Source organism: Homo sapiens, chromosome 6 (genome assembly GCF_000001405.40).
Source record: "Homo sapiens chromosome 6, GRCh38.p14 Primary Assembly".
Classification (NCBI taxonomy): domain Eukaryota; kingdom Metazoa; phylum Chordata; class Mammalia; order Primates; family Hominidae; genus Homo; species Homo sapiens.
Window position 1 is genome coordinate 158691650 of NC_000006.12, and position 15639 is coordinate 158707288.

A 15639-nucleotide genomic window follows, 5' to 3' on the forward strand; every position below is an offset into this window, starting at 1 on the left:
AACTTTTTTTTTTCTTTTTTGAGACGGAGTCTCGCTCTGTCGCCCAGGCTGGAGTGCAGTGATGTGATCTCGGCTCTCTGCAAGCTCCGCCTCCCGGGTTCACGCCATTCTCCTGCCTCAGCCTCCTGAGTAGCTGGGACTACGGGCACCTGTCACCACGCCTGGCTAATTTTTTGTATTTTTAGTAGAGACGGGGTTTCACCGTGTTAGCCAAGATGGTCACGATCTCCTGACCTCGTGATCGGCCCGCCTCGGCCTCCCAAAGTGCTGGGATTACAGGCGTGAGCCACCGCGCCCGGCCAATATTAAACTTTCTTAAGTTAAGAAATAGTTGTAATTTCTTAATGCCTGTAATTCCAGCACTTTGGGAGGCCGAGGCGGGCGGATCACGAGGTCAGGAGATCGAGACCATCCTGGCTAACACGGTGAAACCCCGTCTCTACTAAAAATACACAAAAATTAGCCGGGCGTGGTGGCGGGCGCCTGTAGTCCCAGCTACTTGGGAGGCTGAGGCAGGAGAATGGTGGGAACTTGGGAACTGGAGCTTGCAGTGAGCCCAGATTGTGCCACTGCACTCCAGCCTGGGCGACAGAGCGAGACTCCGTCTCAAAAAAAAAAAAAAAAAAAAAAAAAAAAAAAAAAAAAAGGGTTAAATGTAATAGATAAGCAGTCTACTCAGACTTTCACTGTATTTCTAATAGTTAGGGAAATAAAATAATTTAGAAAGGCTAAGGCTTAACATAGCCTCTGATAATGCTCTCAATGATTCATCATGTAACTAACCAGGTTAATTATTGTATCTTATAATTATGAAGGAAAATGACCTTTATCCCTCCCTCCCAGCAGTAAACGTGATTGAGTTCTTCAAGTGACTTTTCTAAGTTGTATTCTTCTGCATGGGCAGTTTAGACATGATCCGTCCCATCACAGGGTTATGAGGACGGCATCAGATTGGCTGTGTGGGCTTGAAACACTCAGGCTCATGAATTAAAAGAAGCAGGTGCCAGGCCGGGCGCGGTGGCTCACGCCTGTAATCCCAGCACTTTGGGAAGCCAAGGAGGGCGGATCACGAGATCAGGAGATGGAGACCATCTTGGCTAACGTGGTGAAATCCCGTCTCTACTAAAAAAAAAAAAAAAAAAATACAAAAAATTAGACGGGCATGGTGGTGGGCGCCTGTGGTCCCAGCCACTCGGCAGGCTGAGGCAGGAGAATGGCATGAACCTGGGAGGTGGAGGTTGCAGTAAGCCGAGATCGTGCCACTGCACTCCAGCCTGGGCGACAGAGCGAGACTCCGTCTCAAAAAAAAGAAAAAAAAAAGCAGGTGTCAGTCAATACGTAGCTGACTCTATCCCAGTGCCCTGCCTGCCTCTCCTCTCCGTTGGTTTGCTCAGTAAACACCCCTCATCCCTGCAATTCATCCAATGGATTCCACAAGGATGATTCTGTAAAGCTTTCTTTGAATTACAAATGGAGTCCATAGTTTATGTGTGCTTATACTCCTAAGAGGATGTCTTTATGAAGTCATGTTTATTTCCCAGATAAAAATTTTAAAAATTTTACATAGACTTTTGTTTTATTTTTTTGAGACAGCGTCTCATTTTGTCACCTAACCTGGAGCACAGTGGCGGGATCTTGGCTCACTGCAGCCTCAAGTTCTTTGGCTCAAGAAATTCTCCCACTTCAGCCCCCCAAGTAGCTGGGATCACAGGCATGCACCACTACACCTGGCTAATTTGTTTTGTTTTGTTCTGCTGACATGGAGTCTCACTCTGTCACCCAGGCTGGAGTGCAGTGGTGCGATCTTGGCTCACTGCAACCTCTGCCTCCCTTCAAGCGATTCTCCTATCTCAGCCTCCTGAGTAGTGGAGATTACAGGTGCATGCCACTACACCCAGCTGACTTTTGCATTTTTAGTAGAGATGGGGTTTCACCATGTTGGCCAAGCTGGTCTGAAACTCCTGACCTCAAATGATCCACCTGCCTCAGCTTCCAAAAGTGCTGGGATTACAGGTGTGCCACTGAATCCAGCCTTTCTTTCTTTTCGTTTTCTTTCTTTCTTTCTTTCTTTTTGGTAGAGACAGGGTTTTGCCGTGTTGCCCAGGCTGGTCTCGAACTCCTGAGCTCAAGTGATCCACCTGCGCCGGCCTCCAAAAGTGCTGGGATTACAGGTGTGCCACTGCATCCAGCCTTTCTTTTTCTTTTCTTTTTTTTTTTTTTTTTTGTAGATACAGGGTTTTGCCATGTTGCCCAGGCTGGTCTCGAACTCCTGAGTTCAAGTGATCCACCTGCCTTGGCCTCCCAAATTGCTAAGACTGTAGGCGTAAGCCACTGTGCCTGGCCTGCTTTTATTTTAAAGGAAAGGTGGATCCTATTCTTGAATATTTTGTTACTACTCTCCTTAAGAGGAAAGATAAACACATCACCACTAAAAGAAGTGTGTGTCTTGGTAGTGTTTTCCCAGCAGATTGGATTGCTTTTCGTGTCTCAGAGATTTTTAGACAGGTCCATTTAAACTAAGTAGAGCCAAGACTATCAAATCAGATTTTATGATTAATGTAATAAGACCTTGCCCTTCAAAATTTTTTGCTTTCTCCCTGTGTTTCTAGATAATAATCTTCCTGAGACAGGCTCTTGATTTTATTCTTTTTTTTTTCTTTTTTTGAGATGAAGTTTCTCTCTGTCACCCAGGCTGGAGTGCAGTGGAGTGATATTGGCTCGCTGCAACCTCCGCCTCCTAGGATCAAGCAATCCTCCCTCTCAGCCTGCCAAGTAACTGGGACCACAGGTGCACACCACCACGCCCAGTTAGTTTTTCTATTTTTAGTAGAGACGGGGTTTTGCCATATTGCCCAGGCTGGTCCTGAACTCCTGGGCTCAAGTGATCTGCCCACCTCGGCCTCCCAAAATGCTGGGGTTACAGGCATGAGCCACTGCACCTGGCTGATTTTATTCATTTTTGATTTCATGATGCCTTTGGCTTTGCACATAGTAGCAACACAAAAATTGAATTGATTAGAAGGTCCAAGTCACTTTGAATACATGAATTTAACCTAGACATTTTTTGTATCTCAAGTATCTTAACTGGATGACTGGAGTTTCCCCGATGCTTTCTGAGCGCCTGCGTTCCTTCCAGGCCTGCTTCTTTGTCTGTATGTCTCCTGATGTCCTCTGAGCCCTGTCCGTCACTCCATGATAATGAGGTCACTTTAGGCAGCCTACTTCTTGGTCCTGAATTGTCACGACTACTCCACTACTTACTTGCTTCATTGGGTTTTGATTCACTGTTTTTGGAATGGAGGAAGAACCATGATTAGGTGGGCTGGTTATCAGGTTCGTCAATATTTTATTTTACTAAATACTCCCTGCTCTTTTGGGAGTTGGCAAACAACAGCCTGCAAGCCAAATCTGGCCCATCACCCTGCTTTTGTAAATAAAGTTTTATTGGAACAAGGCCATGTTCACTCATTCTCATATCCATGGCTGCTTTTGCAACAGGTTGAGTAGTTGCAACAGAGACCTTACGGCTGGCAAAGCCTGAAATTTTCTACCAAAAAATTTACAGAAAAAGTTTGCTGACCTCTACTCTAGAAGATCAGTTGATAAAATACAACAACGTTTTCATGCCCATCATTATTTTTCCTATTTCAATGAATAGCATGGAAACCAAGGTGAAGTAATTGAACTGAAGGGATTTCTGAATGAAGGATTCATGTGTTCATATGTTTAGACAAAATTACTCATTAGACTAGTTTTTAGGGAGTAATTTGCTGCTGTTAAACTACCTCTTCATATGAATAATTTTTTAAAAGAGCAGACACATATATACTTAAATAGGAAATAATTTTGAATTTAATAACTTCATGTTCATTTTTAAAATTGTGGCAAAATATGCACAATATAAAATTTGCCATTTTAGCCACTTTTAAGCATTAAGTTCATTGGCATTAAGTATATTTGCATTGTTATGCAAACATCACCACCATCTGTTTCTAGAGCTTTTTCATTCTGCTATATTGAAACCCATTAAACAATAACTCTCCATCCTCCCCTTCCCCCACTGTCCTACATTCTGTCTTTATGAATTTGACTACTCTAGGTACCACATATAAGTGGAATCATAATGTATTTGTTCTTTTGTATCTGGCTTATTTCACTTAGCAAAATTTCCTCAGGGTTCATTCATGTTGTAGAGCATGTATCAGAATTTCATTCCTTTTTGTGGATGAATAGTATTCTGTGTCATGGATATACCATGCTTTGTTTATCCATTCATCTGCTGATGGACATTTGGGTTGTTTCCACCTCTTGACCATTGTGAATAATGCTGCTGGGAACATTGGTGTACAAATATTTATTAGAGTTCCTGCTTTAAATCCTTTTGTGTTTATACTCAGAAGTGGAATTACTGGATCAAATGGTAATTCTATGTTTAATTTATTGAGGAACTGCCATGGAATTTTCAGCATCTGCTGCCCTATTTTATTATACTTCCCCACTAGCAATGCACAAGGGTTCCAATTTTTTCACAACCACACTAACACTTATTTTATTAACACTTTTTTTTTTGAGATGGAGTCTCACTCTGTTGCCAGGCTGGAGTACAGTGGTGCTATCTCGGCTGACTGCAATTTCTGCCTCCAGGGTTCAAGCGATTCCCGTGTCTCAGCCTCCCGAGTAGCTGGGACTACAGGTGCATGCCACCACGCCTAATTTTTTTTTTTTTTTGTATTTTAGTAGAGATGGGGTTTCACTGTGTTGGCCAGTATGGTCTTCATCTCCTGACCTCGTGATCTGCCTGCCTCGGCCTCCCAAAGTGCTGGGATTACAGGTGTGAGCCACCGCACCTGGCCAACACTTATTTTTATAACACTTATTTTATATTTTCTTGATAGTAGCCACCCTAATGGGTGTGAAGTGGTATCTTGTTGTGGCTTTGATTTGCATTTCCCTAATAATTAGTGATGTTGAACATCTTTTCATGTGCTTATTGGCCATTTGTACATCATCTTTGGAGAAATGTCTATTCAAGTTCTTTGCCTTTTTTTTTAATTGGATTGTTTTGTTTCTTAAAAACAAAAAAAGAACAAAGCTGGAGGACTCACGCTTCCAGATCTCAAAACTTACTACAAAGCTACAGTAATCAAAACAGTGTGGTACTGATATAAAGACGGACATATAGACCAATGGAATAGAATAGAAAGCCTAGAAATAAAGCCATGCACATATGGTCAAATGATTTTTGAGAAGGGTGCTAAGACCATTCAGTAGGGAAAGGATAGTTTTTTCAACAAATGGCACTGGGAAAACTGGATATCCACATACAAAAGAAAAAAGTTGGCTTATTTCTTAGCCAACTTTTTTCTTAGTTACCTTATTTCACTTAGCAAGTGCTAAGTGAAATAAGGTAAGCCAGACCCTTACCTAACAACATATATAAAAATTAACCCAAAATGCATCAAATACCTAAAGATAAGAGCTCTTGTTTTCTTAGAATAAAATGGGGAAGCTGGGCGTGGTGGCTTACACCTGTAATTTCAGCACTTTGGAAGGCCCAGGTGGGTGGATTGCTTGACCCCAGGAGTTCGAGACCAGCCTAGACAACATGGTGAAACCCCATCTCTACGGAAAAAAAAAAAAAAAAAAAAAAATTAGCTGAGCATGGTGGTCCACGCCTGTGGTCCCAGCTACTTGGGAGGCTGAGGTGGGAGGATCATTTGAATCTATGGTGAGCCAAGATCGCGCCACTGCACTCCAGCCTGGGTGATGGAGCAAAGACCCTGTCTCAAATCAGTCAATCAATCAGGGGGAAAGATTCACGACATTGGATCTGATAATGATTTCTTAGCTATGACAGCAAAGGCACAGGGAACAAAATAAAAAATAGAAAAATTGGACATCATCAAAATGAAAAACTTTTGTGCATCAAAGGACACTATTAACAAAATAAAAAGGTAAGCAACAGAATGAGAGAAAATATTTTCAGATCACATATCTGATAAGAGATTAACATCTAGAATATATAGAGAGCTCCTAGAGCCTATATTCATTTTTTTTAGAGAAAATCCAAAGGATGCTGAAAAGCAGTTTAGACCTTCTTGCCCCAGGTACTCACCAAACCTGAACCAGTCACCCTCGGCCTTGAGTGTATGTCAGTGGAAGACTTACTGCCCAGAGTGTCTGCCTGATAGGACATGGGTAGCTTCATTAAAGGGAAAAGGTATTGTTCTCTTCTGTCACTAAGCAGAAGAGTAATGTCTGGTGGCAGAAGGATGCTGGATAGGGGATGCTTCTTGTCCACAGGATTGTAAATCTTCTGTTAGTAATTGTTGCTCCCTGGAAGGCACTGGTTGCTGATTCACAGTCCTGCTCTGTGTCTTCTTTCATCCTGGGACAGTGGCTTGGAGCCAGTGCTATCTTAGCTCAAATTTTCCTAAGGACTAAAATATGCTTAAAATGGCTCTGGGCTGGGTGTGGTGGCTCACGCCTGTAATTTCAGCACTTTGAAAGGCAGAGGCGGGCAGATCACTTGAGGTCAGGAATTGGAGACCAGCCTGGCCAACATGGTAAAATCCCGTCTCTACTAAAAATACAAAAATTAGCTAGACGTGGTGGTGGGTACCTGTAATCCCAGCTACACAGGAGGCTGAGGCAGGAGAATCGCTTGAACACAGGAGGCAGAGGCTGCAGTGAGCCGAGATCACACCACTGCACCCCAGCCTGGGTGACAGAGTGAGACTCTGTCTCAAAAAAAAAAAAAAAAAGGCTCTGGACTCCTGCTCTAAAACCATTTGTGACTGGATATCATGATTCTTTACATGCTGAGGGATTTTTTTAGGTCAAACTTTTAGAGAGATTTTCCATTTTGAATATGTGAACTATAGATTGGTTTAAAACTGTGTTGTCCAACACCCACTCTAACCCCTGGTTTTGCTCACCTTTCTTTAGCATTTAGAGAAAACTCAAACTTCAGTGTGGGTCAACCCTCAGGACTGTGACTTACAGTGGCACAGGTCGGACACTGCACAAGGGAGCCACTTGTATAAGGGGATATTGTTCAAATACCCACTTATATCGTGTATTGATTGTGATGATTGTTTATGTCAGATACAGCAAAGTGTATTGTTCTGACAAGATCCATATATTATGACAGATTTCCTGGGGGTGGGCATAAGGCCTGTTAAGGGGCACATTTGCCCAGTTCCCATGGAGGCTCCGTTTAGATAGCCCCACCTGTGCTTTTCTTTGGTGGCACTTGGAACTCCAGGGTATAGTTTCTTACACAGGATGTTATTCCCACTCCACAGGCACCAGCAGAGAGGTGGCCAGAGGGAAGGCCGCCTTTCTCCTGACTGCCTGTCTGTAGCACCCACAGCGTGACCCATGCTGTGTGGGTGTGCATGACCTTCTGCACACAGGGCTGCTGTGGGGCCTTTCGGTGGAGGAGGGATTTGCTGATCCTGCTTTGAAAGAGGCCTAACCACACTGATGATGCAGTTCAGGACCTGAAAACCCTCAGCCAGCTACGAGCAACACGACTTGGCGGGCTGATGGAGTCACTGTGGGACATTCCAGGGAGTCTGCCCTGTGTCCTCTTTCCCCGTGAACCAAGTCACCCAGGAGAGAAGAGTTGGAGCAACAGGGCCCGCATCTGCTGCAGGAATTGCAGTCCAGGGCACTGGTATGGTTGGGGGTTAGCGTCCTCAACTGACACCATGACAGAGCCCAGTTTGAGATGGTCATCCATGTATAGGGATTTGTATCGGTAGCTGAAATAAGCTGCTTCATCCCTATTATTTCTAGGCTGAGAAATGGATGCATAGATGGATAATGACTTGTCACAGACATGCCAGCTTCAGGGGCAGGACTGGTGTTTGAGCCACACGCGGCGGATCTTACTCCCCGCTGCCTCAATCTATAGTTTGTGTGAATCCTCACAGTGCTGTGAGCCCTGCTGTGGGTAGAGGTTGTGACTCACTTATTCTTTTTTTATTATTATTTATTTTTTAAAAATTGGGCCAGGTGTGGTGGCTCATGCTTGTAATCCCGGCACTTTGGGAGGCTGAGGTGGGAGGATCACTTGAGTTCAGGAGTTCGAGACCACCTTGGCCAACATAGTGAAACCCCATCACTACTAAAAATACAAAAATTAGCCAGGTGAGGTGGTGTGCACCTGTTATCCCAGCTACTCCGAGCCTGAGGTAGAAGAATCGCTTGAACCAGGGGCGCGAAGGTTGTGGTGAGCTGGGTTTGGGCCACTGCACTCCAGCCTGGGTGATGGAGTGAGATTCTGTCTCAAAAAAAAGAATAATAAAAAATAAATAGGCTGGATGCAGTGGCTCACGCCTGCAATCCCAGCACTTTGGGAGGCCGAGGTGGGCAGATAACCTGAGGTCAGGAGTTCGAGACCAGCCTGACCAACATGGAGAAACCCCTTCTCTACTAAGAAATACAAAAGTAGCCAGGCGTGGTGGTGCGTGCCTGTAATCCCAGCTACTTGGGAGGCTGAGGCAGGAGAATTGCTTGAACCCGGGAGGCAGAGGTTGCGGTGAGCCGAGATCGCACCATTGTACTCCAGCCTGGGCAACAAGAGCGAAACTCTGTCTCATAAATAAATAAATAAACAAATAAACAAAACATTTTATTTTGTAGAGATGGGATCTTGCTATGTTATCCAGGCTGGTCTTGAACTCCTGGGCTCAAGCAGTCCTCCCACCTCAGCCTCCCAAAGTGCTGGGATTACAGGTATGAGCCACCACACCCGGCGTCACTTATTCTTATCTCTCTCGAAGTACCTGTGTGTATTGCACTTAATTAATGTGAATGAATTAATGAAATTACATGTAAGCTAAATTGTGCAAAACCAATGACCTTGTGTTAATACACATTTGGTTGTACAGCTCAAATGAAGTAATGCTTCCTGCTATTGTTAAAATAGTGTTGGTTGCTACTGATGTTGTATGTATGTATGTATGTATGTATTTTGAGACGGAGTCTTGCTCTGTCGCCCAGGCTGGAGTGCAGTGGAGCGATCTTGGCTCACTGCAAGGTCCGCCTCCTGGGTTCATGCCATTCTCCTGCCTCAGCCTCCTGAGTAGCTGGGACTACAGGTGCCCGCCACCACGGCCGGCTAATTTTTTGTACTTTTAGTAGAGACGGGGTTTCACTGTGTTAGCCAGGATGGTCTCGATCTCCTGACCTCATGATCTGCCCTCCTTGGCCTCCCAAGGTGCTGGGATTACAGGCATGAGCCACCGCACCTGGCCTGTTGTATTTATAAGCACCACCTCTTATATGGCAAGCCCTCTTCTGGGTACCAGGGACAGCGAGATGCAGAAGATGAGGCCATGTCCTCAAAAAGGGGAGAGACAGATGCATATTGATTACAGTGGAGTCAGAGGAGTTTTAGTGCAGGCGTGCACAGTAACCACAATGGGGCCAGCCTGGTGAGGACAGTCATGGAATCCCTGTGAATGAACTCTTAGAAGGGTCATGGAGGAGGTGAGCTGGGGTGTAGATGAAGGAGGTGAGCTGGGGTGTAGATGAAGGAGTGTGAGCTGGGGTGTAGATGAAGGAGTGTGAGCTGGGGTGTAGATGAAGGAGTGTGAGCTGGGGTGTAGATGAAGGAGTGTGAGCTGGGGTGTAGATGAAGGAGTGTGAGCTGGGGTGTAGATGAAGGAGTGTGAGCTGGGGTGTAGATGAAGGAGTGTGAGCTGGGGTGTAGATGAAGGAGTGTGAGCTGGGGTGTAGATGAAGGGCTGTCTGGGGGAGGAGCCGTGGGAAGAGGGTCATGGAGGAGTGTGAGCTGGGGTGTACATGAAGGACTGTCTGGGGGGAGGAGCCATGGGGAGAGGGTCATGGAGGAGTGTGAGCTGGGGTGTAGATGAAGAGCTGTTCTGGGGGGGAGGAGGCGTGGGGAGAGGCACAAGGCCTGGAGTGGGCACAGGCAGCTGGGAGGCTCTGTTTGACTGGGGCTGAGCGAAGGAGATGGGGGTGGCAGAAAGGGACAGTGGAGAGGCAGGTAGTCACTCAAGCACCCGCGGCCTCTGGATTTGCCTCCTGGGGCTGCAGTAACAGAGTGCCACAACCTGGGGATCCTCCAACAACAGAAATGTATCATCTCCCAGTTCTGGAGGCTGGTAGGCCGAAATTGAGGTGTCAGTGGGGCCATGCTTCCTCTGCTGGTGCTAGGGTAGAACGCTGCCTCCCTCTTCCTGCTTCTAGTGGGTCTCAGCAATTACCCCAGTCTCTGCCCTGATGGTCACGGGGCTGTCTCCACATTGTCTCCCCTCTGTGCCCATCTGCCTGTGTGTCTAGATTCCCCCTTCCCTTCTTGTTTTTGAGACAGGGTTTTACTCTGTCACTCAGGCTGGAGTGCAGTGCTGCGATTATAGCTCACTGTAGCCTGTCAGTCCTGGGCTCAAGCTATCCTCCCACCTCAGCCTCCTGAGTAGCTGGATGGGAGGATCACTGCAGGCACATGCCACCATGCCCAGCTCATTTAAAATTTTTTTTGTAGAAAAAAAATTAGCTGGGTCTGGTAACTCACGCCTGTAATCCCAGCTACTTGGGAGGCTGAGGCAGGAGAATCACTTGAACCCGGGAGGCGGAGGTTGCAGTGAACCAAGATCGCGCTATTGTACTCCAGCCTGGGCAACAAGAGTGAGACTCTGTCTCAAAAAAAAAAAAAAAAAAAATTTTTTTTTTTTTATAGGACATAGTCTCACTAAGTTACCCAGGCTGGTCTCAAACTCCTGGCCTCAAGTGGTCTCTTCTGCCTCCTGGAGGAGGCTGATGTGGGAGGATCGCTTGAGCCCTGGAGTGAGAGGCTACAGTGAGCTATGATCACAGCACTGCACTCCAGCCTGAGTGACAGAGTAAAACCCCGTCTCAAAAACAAGAGGGGGGGAAAAGAAGTTACTCAGCTTTCTGGGACATGGTTGTTGGTTTCCAGGTGGTCGTTTCCCCCCGGCTTTGTATTAGGAAAATGTTCGAATAGAAGCAGAGCGGTGACCCCGTGTCTGTACAGCCCTCGACTATCCCCGTTTTGGTCTTGTCCCCACCCGCTCCCCACCCTAAGTTATATTTGTACACTTTTTCTGACTTCCTGCAGGCTTTTTAGGCAAGTTGTGGTACAAAATCCGTTTTGTCACTTGTAGACGTTGTGACTTTGGGCCCATGACACCTTATCCCTGAGCCTCGCTTTTCATTTATAAAATTGGGGGCCTGGCACAGTGGCTCACGCCTGTAATCCCAGCACCTTGGGAGGCCGAGGCGGACGAATCACAAGGTCAGGAGATCGAGACCATCCTGGCTAATACGGTGAAACCCCATCTCTACTAAAAATACAAAAAATTAGCCAGGTGTGGTGGCGGGCGCCTGTAGTTCCAGCTACTTGGGAGGCTGAGGCAGGAGAATCACTCGAACCTGGGAGGCGGAGGTTGCAGTGAGCCAAGATCGTGCCACTGTACTCCAGCCTGGGCGACAGAGCAAGACTCTGTCTTAAAAAAAAAAAAAAAAAAAAAAAAATTGGGATGACACCTGGCAACCACCCGAGCAGCAAATGTGTGCAAAATGCTCCGCGCCGTGCCTGGCAGACACGGCTGCCAACCAGCCATGTGCCTGAGACAAGCCCTGGCAGCCTCAGACCTGGGCCCTGGCCTGCAGCTGTTCCTGTCCCTGGCAAAGACGGGTATCCCTGCTAAAGTCACTCGCCAGCCAGACCGGGCAGGGTGGTGGGGGCCCTTGGTCCAAAACACCTGCCTCTCGAGGGATGCCTGTCTGTGAGCATCTCACAGCTCCTTGCGCGAATACTGACATGTTAACAAGAGGTCAAAATTCAGGGCTCTTTAAGGAAGCTTCTAGGAAGAAACAACTGAGGAATCAAAGAGAAGAAGTGAAATGACAGTCAACAGTGGGCTGGTAAAAGCCACACAGGGCAGTGCTGCTCCAACTTCCTTGAGTTCTCAAATCTGCCCGGATCTTGCTCCAATGGGATTGGGGCTCTGCAGGCTGGAGGCTGCCTGGGGCTCTGTGTCTCTAGCAACCCCTGCCCTGCTGAGAGCAACAGCCCACAACTGGGGCAGTGAGGCAGGGGGCAGAGTGGGACCTGCGGGTCCCCCTGCATGCTTTCATATGTCCTGTGAACTAAGAGTGGGTTTTATATTATTATCATTATTATTATTATTATTATTATTATTATTATTTTGAGATGGAGTCTCATTCTATCTCCCAGGCTGGAGTGCAGTGGTGTAATCTGGGCTCACTGCAACCTTTGCCTCTTGAGTTCAGCCTCCCGAGTAGCTGCGATTACAAGCGTGTGACCTCATGCCCGGCTAGGCTAATCTTTGTATTTTTAGTAGAGACGAGGTTTCATCATGTTGGCCAGGCTAGTCTCGAACTTCTGGCCTCAAGTGATCCGCCTGCCTCAGCCTCCCAAAGTGCTGGGATTACAGATGTGAGCCACCACACCTGGCCGGGTTTTACATTTTTAAATGGTTAAAAAAAAAAACAAAAGAATAATCTTTGTGACACATTCAAATTTCAGTGCCCATGAAGTTTCGTGGGAACGGGCACGCCTGCCCTTTATTACTGTCTGTGGCTGCTGTCATAGGGCGGAATTGAGCAGCTGTGACGGGCCCCTCCCTGGGGCCAGCACAGTGCAACGTTCCCTCTCCAGCCTTGACCCAGGCCCCGCCTGTGCCCCGCGTCGCTGCAGCCGGCAGGGGGCAGCAGAAAGCCACGCGCACGCCCGGTCCGTGCAGGAGCCGCAGCGGGGACGCGGGGGATTTGCGACCCGGGCCGAAGCGGAGGTTTCCTAGCTGGGGTCTGAGATGTGGACCTGAGGCAGAACTGCCCGTGGGGGATAGCAGGAGGAGACGAGGTGGGGGTGACAGTAATCGTGCAGGCAGGGCCGGCCTCACCGGGTAGGCAGGGCAATAAGGGACAATTGGTTTGCTGGAGTGAAAGGGCAAGGCCTGCAGGCGGAGGGGTGACCCCGCAGGGTGGGGCACCCCGGAAGCCACGTGGGCCTGGACTTCAGACCACGCCATAGGGAGTCACTGAAGGGTTCCAGGTGGTAGTGTGATAGCCTCAGATTCTCTAAGAGGGATGTGGCTTTTTGGTGACTGTGCCTCAGGATACTGTTGCCACAACCAGGGACAGAGTGACAGTGAGGGCTGTAAGGCCACATAGGGCAGGAGGGACCCAGGGCAGGGTGACAGTGAGGGCTGTAAGGCCACATAGGGCAGGAGGGACCCAGGGCAGGGTGACAGTGAGGGCTGTAAGGCCACATAGGGCAGGAGGGACCCAGGGCAGGGTGACAGTGAGGGCTGTAAGGCCACATAGGGCAGGAGGGACCCGGGGCAGGGTGACAGTGAGGGCTGTAAGGCCACATAGGGCAGGAGGGACCCGGGGCAGGGTGACAGTGAGGGCTATAAGGCCACATAGGGCAGGAGGGACCTGGGGACAGGGTGACAGTGAGGGCTGTAAGGCCACATAGGGCAGGAGGGACCCAGGGCAGGGTGACAGTGAGGGCTGTAAGGCCACATAGGGCAGGAGGGACCTGGGGACAGGGTGACAGTGAGGGCTGTAAGGCCACATAGGGCAGGAGGGACCTGGGGACAGGGTGACAGTGAGGGCTGTAAGGCCACATAGGGCAGGAGGGACCTGGGGACAGGGTGACAGTGAGGGCTGTAAGGCCACATAGGGCAGGAGGGACCCGGGGCAGGGTGACAGTGAGGGCTGTAAGGCCACGTAGGACAGGAGGAACCCGGGGCAGGGTAACACTGAGGGCCGTAAGGTCACATAGGGCAGGAGGGACCTGGGGACAGGGTGACAGGGCTATAAGGCCACGTAGGACAGGAAGAACCCGGGGCAGGGTAACACTGAGGGCTGTAAGGTCACATAGAGCAGCGGGGGGGGACCTGGGGGCAGGGTAACAGTGAGATCTGGAAAGTCACATAGAGCAGGAGGGACTCGGGGCAGGGTGACAGTGAGGGCTGTAAGGTCACATAGACCTGGGGACAGGGTGACAGTGAGGGCTGTAAGGTCACATAGACCTGGGGACAGGGTGATAGGTGAGGGCTGTAAGGCCACGTAGGGCATGGGGGACCCAGGAACAGGGTGACAGTGATGGCTGTAAGGCCACATAGGGCAGGGGGATCCAGAGACAGGAGCACCCTGTGGTATATTGCCGCCCGCAGACTGCTGTGCACCAGCTGTCTCCCAGGTCTGTGCTCGCCCCAGGATGGGCAGGATGAGCAGCGTGGCTGTTTTTCTCTTGCTTCCATGGCCAGCACACTGCAGTCAGGCTGTTTTTTGCTTGGACCTGGATGTTTTCTCTCAGGGGGCTCCTGCAGGTGCTAGCTTTGGTCCCTGACCAGCTGGTCCTACTAGTTGAGTGCCCGGGCTTCAGGCAAGACTGTGTTGTACCTTTTCATTCTGTCTTAGGGAAGTATTTCTTAATGGGGAGGGGAAGGGTCACAGGTGCCTTATAGAATCCTGTGAAAGCCAGATGTCCCCCAGATGAACCCCAGAAAATGCACACAGGCAGGTGGACTCGGAACTTTAGCCATGATTTCAAAGACTCCTGCACTCGCTATGGCCAGCCTGGCTAAGGACCCTGATCTAGGGGCTGCCTTCTTCCTTTGAGGCTTGGGGCTTGGTGTTGAGAGCTTAACATCACATGCTATTTGCCCTCCCAAAGGCCAGCCCATCTGATTTTCTTACTGTCCGTGTCCTTCAGTGGGTCTTATGGAAGTGATGTTTCCATATGTAAATGGTTTTTTTGGAATGGCTGAAATCCCCCAAGCTTCGGCACAGGAGCTAGACTGCCTCCCAGGGTGGCAGGCCCGGTGTTCTGGTCTGTGTATTGGGCAGAGTGGAGCCCTCTGGGAACCTCCCTTAGCAGGAGAATGCTGCTTCCTTCCCAGCCCCCTGCTGGACGAGGACTGGTCTCTTCCTATGCATTTGGCCAGGGAACACTGTGTTCACAGAACTGGGAACATGCTGAGTTTTATTTCTGGCGTCTTAACACATCATAAAAACCTCTTTTCTTGAAACAAAAAGAGTACTATATCAGATGCAGTCTTATTTAGGAAATTATTAGCCTCTGTAACTAGAAATAAGTAGATTACAGTTTTTAAAAGATTAATTTAATCTTCATCACAAGGCAAGCTTACAGGAATAGATTCATTCCATTATGAAATGTTTCCAAAGGACGAATGGAAGATTTAGAAAATCTAATCCAATATCAACTTTTAATAAAAGTAGTCATTCCCAACAATTATGGTTTCATAATGTGTGTGTATGTTTAAATGACTTTAGGAGAGTACAATTTCCATAACATAAAATGTGTCTTTTCAGTCTACAATGCAATGATTTTGAGTAAATTTACAAAGTTGTACAACCATCTCTACACTCTAATTTTGGAACATTTCTATCACCTCAAAATGATCTCTTACTTTTTAATCACAAGAAATGATACTAGAGAAAATAATTTTAATCTACTATTTCCTGTATTTACATTAGCTAAGTGCTATTCTTAATAATAAACGCCCTCTATGGATATCTCTCGCAGGCAAACATGAGACAGTTGGAGGGCAGCTCTTGCAATCTTATCAGAAGCTGAGGTGAGTG

At 47.9% G+C, this 15639-nt stretch overlaps 1 protein-coding gene across 24 annotated transcripts in view, besides 1 other annotated feature; it reads left to right on the top strand.

Annotated features, from left to right (window-relative positions):
• SYTL3 (synaptotagmin like 3) overlaps nt 1-15639 on the top strand; it is a 119936-nt gene that overhangs the window by 46714 nt on the left and 57583 nt on the right. For 22 of the 24 annotated variants that reach the window (XM_006715606.4, XM_047419556.1, XM_011536254.3 and 19 more), the window contains one exon: nt 15581-15632. The exons of 1 other annotated variant lie outside the window; for it this stretch is intronic. In XM_006715606.4, the coding sequence (XP_006715669.1) occupies nt 15581-15632 (52 nt within the window). Of the gene's footprint in view, nt 1-12758; nt 12884-15580; nt 15633-15639 lie in introns of those variants that run through there. One more of the 24 variants, XM_047419559.1, reaches the window with a different exon arrangement.
• Nucleotides 13201-13250: an enhancer, noted in NCBI's record as "active region_25359". NCBI's record gives its function as "activates an Ori minimal core promoter by ATAC-STARR-seq in GM12878 lymphoblastoid cells {active_cell/tissue: GM12878}" and the evidence as "EXISTENCE:reporter gene assay evidence [ECO:0000049][PMID:35858748]".